This window comes from Homo sapiens, chromosome 6, assembly GCF_000001405.40.
Source record: "Homo sapiens chromosome 6, GRCh38.p14 Primary Assembly".
NCBI classification, from domain to species: domain Eukaryota; kingdom Metazoa; phylum Chordata; class Mammalia; order Primates; family Hominidae; genus Homo; species Homo sapiens.
In genome coordinates, this window is record NC_000006.12 from 65,950,721 (window position 1) to 65,960,121 (window position 9,401).

The 9,401-nt window shown below is 31.2% G+C and overlaps 1 annotated feature.

Annotated features, from left to right (window-relative positions):
• Nucleotides 9,232–9,401: an enhancer, noted in NCBI's record as "experimental_93837 CRE fragment used in MPRA reporter constructs". NCBI's record gives its function as "activates a minimal promoter by MPRAs in K562 erythroleukemia cells, with activity observed for the introgressed 6:66669930 variant allele {active_cell/tissue: K562}" and the evidence as "EXISTENCE:reporter gene assay evidence [ECO:0000049][PMID:34662402]".

The following is a 9,401-nucleotide window of genomic DNA, read 5'->3' on the forward strand; positions in this document are numbered from 1 at the left end:
ATTCAGTCTGTTACTATGTATAAAACATCCCTGCTTTTTATAAAGCCCAGTTTCTCCCTGAGCAAATAATGACAAGTGAAAGAAAAATGCCTAATAAAAGATATTTATTTCTAAAATACTCATTTTAGAATAAGTGTTTTTGGCAAGAAGCTTATGCAACACTCATCATGTGACTCATTTTGAGAGGTAGAATTTCAGTACACTAATTGAAGAAAATAAGCTAAGAGTTTGCTCTTTCTTGAATCTGAACTAATTCTTTCTAAATTTTAGTCAAATCACAACTTATAAAAAGAAAGTAGAAGCTAAAATTTCAGGGCATAACTTTCCATATTTAGGAAAGTACGCCAAGTTAAGTATGCCTCACTGAACGTTAAATTATACAATTAAAAATGTTAATTTTAAAATCTTATCCTAATATTTGTACTACTTAATTAGTAATAATGATGAATGACTGAACTTTGTTCCTTTACCACAACATATCTTTTTTTAGTTGAGATTTAGTTCATGCCTGAAAGTAGACGTTCTTAAACTCTGTGTGTATGTTCTTTTGTTATATAAACCAAAGGCTTTTCCTTTAAGTTATGCTCCCTTGGCCATATTTCCTCATTAAAATACATTTATTTAACACATTGCATGTTGTGTGTATGTATTTACATATTGAAACATATATACACATGCATGATTCACTTAGATTTCTACAAAATTAGCTAAAAAATTAACATCTGTATTTGCTAAAAGACTTGGAACTTAAAACAAGGTAAGCCAGATGGAGGACCAAAATAAATATCATCAACTCTAGTCAAGAGTTTTATCTGTTATCATACAACATATTTAGGGAAATATGTGATTGTGATAAGCCACTTATGATGAAAATGTGTTCCATCCCAATTGTTAAAATTTTCATCTCTGAAATTTGAGTTTCTAATAGACAAATGTCTTGGACCCTTAAACTATTAAATCAGTTTTTAACAACAACAACAAAATAGGTAGTGAACACTGGAAGATACAAAATTTGATGAACTGTTAGTGTTTCACAAGACCAATATTCTACTTATGTGCATTATGGTAAATGCTTTTGATGCCTTAATATAATCACATAATGGACAGAAAGAAAAGATATAACTATAAAAAATGTTAAGAGATATTAGATTTGTTTTTGTCTAGTTATAAGATTGAACAGTATAGGGTCAGGAGCTTCATAGTTAGAATTACATAAAAAATGTAGAATTACTTCAAAATCAAAATGCAGCAAAATTTATAAATGCAAATAACTGAGGTATGCTGCATTTGTTTTTAAATAGCCACTTTAATACCAAACAGATAAATTTTTTTTTGATATAACATGTGTTCCTTTGTAGAATGTGTTAAGGAAACTACATTTGACATTGTTTATCTCAGTGAGAAAACAGACTGTTTTTACAATGAATTTGATCCAAAAACCTAGACTGGGAATTAGAAGTAAAGTAAGCAGGGTTATCAACTAATATATGACCTTCCTCACTTCAATTAAAGTTCCTAGACTACTGTTTTGATGTTACCTTATTAGTTATGTCGAATCAGTTAAAGTAATATCTGTAGTAGTTAAAGTAATATCAGTTAAAGTAATGCCTGTAGTAGGTAATTTTAAAGTAATATCTGTAATAGTTAACCTCTCCCATGTGTTATTATCATAATGCAACAGGAGATAGTTCCGACTGCTGCCTCCTCATCCAATCAGGACTTTAGTGAAGTCCACACAGAGTACAGTAAAAAGAGACTGCCTGCCTTATAGACTGCTGTCTGTCTGATACTTTTGTTGTAAGATTAATGTGTTAGGTAATCTTTTCTGGTGGAAAAACAAGAGTAGATATCAGAGTAACCATCCTAATGACTCAAGGATCCTCTTAGAGATAACAACCTGAAAGCTCTGGCAGATCTTGCTTTTGTTTAAGACAATGTAAATATCTTTTTTTTTTAAAGAAATATATATGTAAACATGGCAACATCTAGATCTATTGTATAATTTTGAAATAGGTCTAAGAAGCAAATCTTGGATTCTATTTCTTTTTAAACAATTTCACCAAAAGACATTTAACTGGATGAAAGAAATTTATCATATATTGTTGCATAGATATATTTTAATCTCTTTCTTAGGAAGTGCTTACCTGATTTGAGATAATTTTTCTCATAGCATACAATACCAAAGCACACTAATTTTAAAGATTTATACATTTTCTTTGAAGATACTCAAATCTAGGCTGTCCTCTGTAAACTTGTTTGTTTTTAAAGTTTTTCTTTGTTTTGCTTGTCTTGTTTTCATCGTACAACATGGAGTAAGATAAGAAGACATGAATGCAACAGGAAAACATATGTATGAATTAGTGATACAAATATTTTTAATTTAAATTCATGTAATTTCACAAAAATATATGTGATGATAGACTCCCTTAGTTTACTGAGATACAAGGTTTTTTTTTAAATAATATAATATCTAGGTTATATAGATCAGACTAGATTGGCACTAAATGGAGATACCAAATTGTGAAAACACTAACACTGTGACAATTTCTAATCTACAGTAACATATAAGCAAATCTGGAAGGAAAACTCATGTCTGAAATATATTCCCATTTTAAATTTCATATCAAACAATCAATGATTTTCAGGTCTGAAAATTTCAAATCTTAACTTACACAGAATTATGAACCATAATTTAAAGATTTTAGTTATTAAGAAGCAGATTATACCAAGGTAAAACTCATTAATCATTTGTGTTCAGGTAATTTATTTTACTACTTGTTTCTGTGCCAGTTAACAATATAAATATTGGTCTAAAACATAAAAATAATAATAGTATGGGAATAACAACTCTATTTTCTTAAATAAAGAAATTGTAGTTATATGACTACTACATTGTATTTTGAGAGTAAAAAGAGATACCTCAGAGCTGTTAAATATGCTACATGAGATAGCAATGATTCTATCACAAACAATGATTATTGTTATTATTCTTCACATGGGATTCTGAGGCCAAATGTCTCAAGGGATGAGACCTATCAATCACAACTGATTTAACAAGGACACTACCAATAAAAGATTTACATTCATGCTATCCCCTCCAATGCAAGTCTCTAGAGGAATACACAGAGAAAACTGGCTTGATAAATATTTCAAATAGCTTTTTTACTAGTTCTGAGAGCTTCCTATTGACAATATCAAGGGCTTTAAGGAGATGTTCTGCATAGTAAATGCACAAAGACAGCTATAGAAAGGTCTTTGAAGGATAATGCTTTTTAATTTAATAGATGGGTTATAGGAAAGGTAGTGAGCAGTTTGCCAGGGGTTCCAACTCTAGCTAAGGAAACAGTGCCAAGTCTGTGAATCACAATATTGGATTGTAAGTTATTCAGAATGTTCTGAGAAGCGATCCAAACATAGAAACACCTGAAACTTCAATATTGAATCCATTTACATTAATAACATTCAAGGAGTCTTCTAATCTTAACACATACACCCAGTAATACTCCTACTGAAGCCTTGTAGATAAGATAGATCACCAGTATTTAATTAAAGGAATATAATTTTATATAGTTAGATGATTATCTTAACAGAACCTGGTATATTGACCCTGAAAAATGTTAGGCAAGCAGGAAGAAGCATAATACAAGTAAATAAGCTTAAACCTATATTAGCTACATATTGCACAGACCTAATAGATAAAGTATCTCATCTTTTGAAATTTTATTTCCTCTAATTACTTAACCAGCCAACTGAATTTAATCATCCAACTGTCAATTCAGACAAGTTTGTAGAACTCTCTTTGAAAAGGTTCAGTCTGGAAATTAATGAAGACCACAGTGATAGCCATCCATTGAAGATGAATGGGAAGATTCCTGGATGACAACTAAGCTTTGCAAACAGCAATGCTGTCTTATCATTAAAGTTGCACACTGTACTTTACTCTGAGGTGATTTACCAGAATATGTGCTTTAATGTGTGTTTAAAATCTATTATCAGTTGTTTTAAAAGGAAAAGTTGTCTAAGAGATAAGTATTTTAAGGCAACAACATGGCTAATAGAAACCATTTAAATAGGCTTAGTTTTAGTTGACTTTTTTATTATGTGTGTATATATACACACACACACACACACACACATATATATATACACACAACATTAAGCATTAGGAATTACTCTTTGTATCTAGGATAAATCAAGTACCTTTTAGACCACAGTGGAATAAAACTGGAAAGTAACTCATAAGGAAACTTCAGAACTATATAAATTCATAGATGTTAATCCACTCTTGAATTATTTTTCGGTTAACAATAAAATCAAGATGGGAATTTAAGAATTCTTTGAACCGAATGATAACGGTGACACAACTTATCAAAACTTTTGGGATAGAGCAAAGTGGTGCTAAAATGAAAGTTTATAGCATTAAACACCTACATCAAAAAGTCTGAAAGAGACAACCTAATGCCACATCTCAAAGAAATTGAGAAACAAAACAAACCAAACCCCAACCATGCAGAAGAAAAGATCAGAGAAGAGTGAAATGAAATTGAAACAGAAAAATGAAACAAAAAGCTGGTTCTTTGAAAAAATGAACAAAATTGATAGACCGTTAGCAAGATTAACTAGGAGCTGATAATTTTGTGCCTAGTGACCCAGATATCTTTCTACCAGGGTTTCCTTTTGTGCAAGAGATTAGTAATAATGTGAGAAAAGCATCTGGCCTATGATAACAATAATCCAATAACAATAGTAGTAATAATAATTTGTTGAGCACTTTTCTGAAGACACCATGGAATACTTACTTCTTAAATGGGCAGCAGGAGCCTGACTGCCCAAGTGAGTATCCGGGTTCTTTCATGAACACCTAGGAAACTTTAAGAAAATTGCTTCACTTCTATGTGCTTTAGGTTCTCTTCTTTATGAAATGTAGCTAATCACCTACAACAGTATCTGGACCACAGGTAAGTGCTTTATAAAATCTGCTGTTATCATTTTTACTGCTTTAGGTATAATTATTAATGATATTTTATAGACTCTTAATGAGAAAAAATAAATTTATATATAAAGTACTTAAAACAGTGTCTTGCATGTTTTAAGGACTTCACAAATGTTAGTACAATTTACCTGTATTCTTTAATTCCCTCAACAGCTGAATTAGGTGGGAACTATTATCAGGTGTAATTTCTATTAGGTATAAGACAGGTGGTAGCTATTAATATAATATCAAAATCAGTTTTAACTTGCACCATTTTGTCCATAGGAGCTTTTATTAGTCTCATAAGTCACTATTTACCTGAGGATTGGCACATATGTATTTTAGTGCAATATCATACATTTAATCATTGAGGCAGGGTTGGAAACTTACTATCCTGGCTTAAAATAGGTCAAATTATGTCTGCAATCAAGCAAGACATTTTTACTGAGAAAAAGTTGGCTGAGATTTTGAAAAACAGTATAATTCCTGTGTGACATATTCCTTCCATCAAAAATCATCTACATTAATGGTTGTCTAGAGATACTGCCAACTATTCCAATGTATCTCAGGTCTTGCAAATTCATATTTGTGAATATTTTGAAGTTGATTTATGTTGATATTAATCCCCCATGTTTTGCTGACCAACTCAGGTCCTTTGACTCTTGTGATATTCTCCTCTCAACCATTTTCTGAATTCCTTGGGACCCAGGACACAGATTTTGAGCATCATTCTTCTACTAATGAGCTGTATCATTAAATGGTTATTCCTCTTCAATCACCAACACTTTCAGGACTCAGGTGTCATTAGCAACTGGTTGAAGACCTTGATTAACAAAACTCTTTTGTAGTTTTGAGGTCTATAATGAGAGATATTCATATCTGGTTAACAAATAGCTGTTTAACAGACCTCTGTGGCCCCATTTGGGTTACTTTTCTTGCTTCAGCTTCAATGCATTGCTGTTCTTACCCCCAAAGATACAATACTTTTGTGCAAACAGAGTGTTCTGTTCATCTTTATAGCCATTTCCCTAAGGCTCACGCACAAGCACTTGGAGGTGGGTTAGGGAAGCCAACTTACAAATAAACCCTATGCTCTCAGTTCAACACTCTTCAGATGATGTAGCCATTTAACTGTCCTACACAAAATGCTTGTAAAAATCTACTAGATTCAAAAACATTTCACTGGACACCAAATAGTGATAGCCATGTTTGAATCTCAGCCTTGGCCAAGGCTTTGTCTAAAGCTGAGCATTATTTCAATGAATAAGATGTTATTTGGGGGATAAAAATATATCAGTTTTTATATTTAAAAATTATGTTGCCATTATGTATGAGGCTCAATGGAATCATAAACAATGTACACATCACCCAAACACGTTGCAATAATGCAGTATTTCTATAGTTCCAAGTTTCTGGTATTAGTCTGTGCATTTAAATCCTAGCTGGGTAACCATGGGAAAGATACTTTCTGCATCTCAATTCCTTCATCTTTAAAATGGGATTAATAATACAAATATATCTTATAGAAGGTTTTATAGAAAGAAACTTAGCATATGGTAAGTACTCAATAAATAATAGTTATTATGATCACTATATTATTAACATATTTATTTCCTCCAAAGCCTTGCATATACTGTAAAAGTTGTTTGTAATTTTCGCTTGCTCTTGTCTGAATGAAATATAGTGAATGATAAAATATGTTAATATAAACACTAACAAATTTTGTCACATAATTTATAAGTAAATTACTTGTGACAAGCCAAAACAATGATGTGGCCATGTGTTAACCCATGATGGTATCCATATTAATACTTGGTAAACAATATGTTACCAAAGAGCAAATATTTAATGATTTGATATTATAGTAACAAGAAACATCTATATATGCATACAAAGTCTGAATATATATGATTTTATAGCAGTGTTATATATAGGAAAGGAGTGTCTTGATTATTTTTAATCTTTACCTTTTATATATTAACACAATTTTTCTGTCTGTATTATAAGTAATCAGAAAAAAACCTATTTTAAGTTAAAAAGAGAGATATATGAGTATATTTGAGCTAAAATGTTCTATTAGCTTATTTATTCTAATTTTTCCAAATGCATGTGAAGAAAGAAATAATCTTGTCATAATTAAAATTTCAGTGAAATAGGAATAAAGTTATTTTAGTAGTAAATTTGCATTTTACATCAAATATGGTAATGTAACATGGCTGTACCTGTATGTTTAAGACACCTTTAAAGATGAGCTATTGAGTTTGACTTAAAAAGAATAAAGTGGAAATACATGAGCTTATGAATTTATTGGAAACTTGATAATGTAATCCACATTTGCAGGAACCTATTTTTCTTTTAATCAGTATGTTATTTATTTTCTGTTTTATATACTGTAAACTGATTTATGCCTTTTTTAAGTATATTCAAGTGGTGGTGATTTTCAATCGGCCCCTAAGTTTTCTTCGTTACCAAATACCTTTTTCAAATAAAAAAAAAATGACAATGATTTTCCCCTTAGGACTTCGAGAAACTCTCACAAATACAAACTTAGATTGTGCTCGACAATCTAGGGCGATATTTTTAATCTTGAGGGAAAAAAAGATACTCTGTTGATATTTTCTGGATCATAAAATAAAAAGAGTATGACTTTTATGCTGAAGTGTTTGGCAATCTTCATAGTCATCTTCTAAGAGACATTTAAACACATATAAAAGGGATGCAAGATCATAAAAATACAATAATCACTACATTGTATTCTTAGCTGAAATGAGTGTAATAACACAGCATGGCTACAGAATTGCTTTGAAATATTCTCCTCTGAATAGATTTTACAAGAATTACCAAAAGAAATAACTTGCATCTCAGTATAATACTGTCTATGGGGAACATTTTCTAAGACTGTTTTATGCGCGACTCAGTTCCGGACACAGGTCTTTGTAATACTTTCAATAGCTATCTTCTACAGATAGGGAAAGAGACTCTTGACAAGAAATTTAGCCAAATTTTATTTTAATAAGATTTGAAAAATTTAATTTAATGAAAAATATAACTATATAAAATAGATTATATTTTTTATTATTTAAAACAATTGAAAAATAAGTAAATAAATAAAATAAAAAATTAGAAAGTGATGCATATTTGATTTGATGATTTGGGTTAATATAATGAGGATTTGCATATTAGGCTAGCATTCCTATTTTAATTTAAGTGAAAGTCTTCATTATTTCCCCAGACACCAACTCAGTACAACCAACCAAGGTGCTCAAGCCAAACACTTAGGCATCATTGCTGGTAACATCTTTCTCCATCCCCCAAATAGTTAAGCCATCAGCAAATTCCATTAATTTTACCACAAAAATATATCCTGACTGTTTGCTTTCATAGCTAACATCACCTCCCTGATCCAAGCTTTTGTCATCCTCTGTCATCACACACCATCTGAAATAGTCCTCTGCCGGCTTTCTCTGCTTCTATTTTTCCTTCTTTATAATTTATTCCCAGGATGTTATTTTAAAATTTACATGAGATGATAAAATTTAGCCCTCTCTAAGCAATCACATTTAGAATGAAATCTGTATTTTCTGTTTGGTAAATTAGACCAATTTGAACTAAATCATGCCTACATCTCTAGCTTTGTTTTCCAATTCTCTGTCTCTTTCTGTTTCTCTCTGCTTCTTTCTGTTTCTCTCCTGTTCACCCTCTCCTCCAGTCTTATACTCAAGTTGCAGTATTATTGTTTTATGTTCTTCTAACTAGCAACATTTGTTTCTTCCTCTGAAACCTTGGATTTGGTTGTTGCTATTGCTTGCAACATTCTTTCACTAAATATTCCTATCCTGTCACCTAAAGTGTTACCTTCTCAGAGAGGTCTGTCTCACTACCACCTGTTAACTAGGAAATCTCCCATCTAGTCCCACTTTATTTCCAACTGGATATTTGTCAGCACTAGATTTGGGGGCATATTTTTGTTACCTTCAAACAGACGTGTAAAATTTGAGGACTAGAGACTCTTTTTTATTTTTCTTCTTTTTCTTTTTCACCATTGTGTATGCTAAGGACTTAAGGAAGTGACTAACATAAAGCATATGATGTGCTAAGTGACTGTATGGAGTATGAGCACAAAGTTTAGAGCTGGTAGATAGAAAACATCCAGAGGTAGTTCACAAGATTTCAAAGTAAGTGATCTTTAGTTTTACTAAAAAATTAAAACTGGATTTAAAATTGAAGATGTCCCATCTTTTATAACATGTTACAAATAAGTTTTTTTTAATCTTACTATAGCAAGATGAGTAAAAGCTTACTAATTAAGGAAAGCAAAATTCTCACTGCCAAGGGCAGGCTACTCCATTTTTCTTTGGATTGACTATTCTTAGAGCAAAAAGTATTAAAAAGAAAGTGCTATTAAACTTTATTATGTACATGTCCTGCT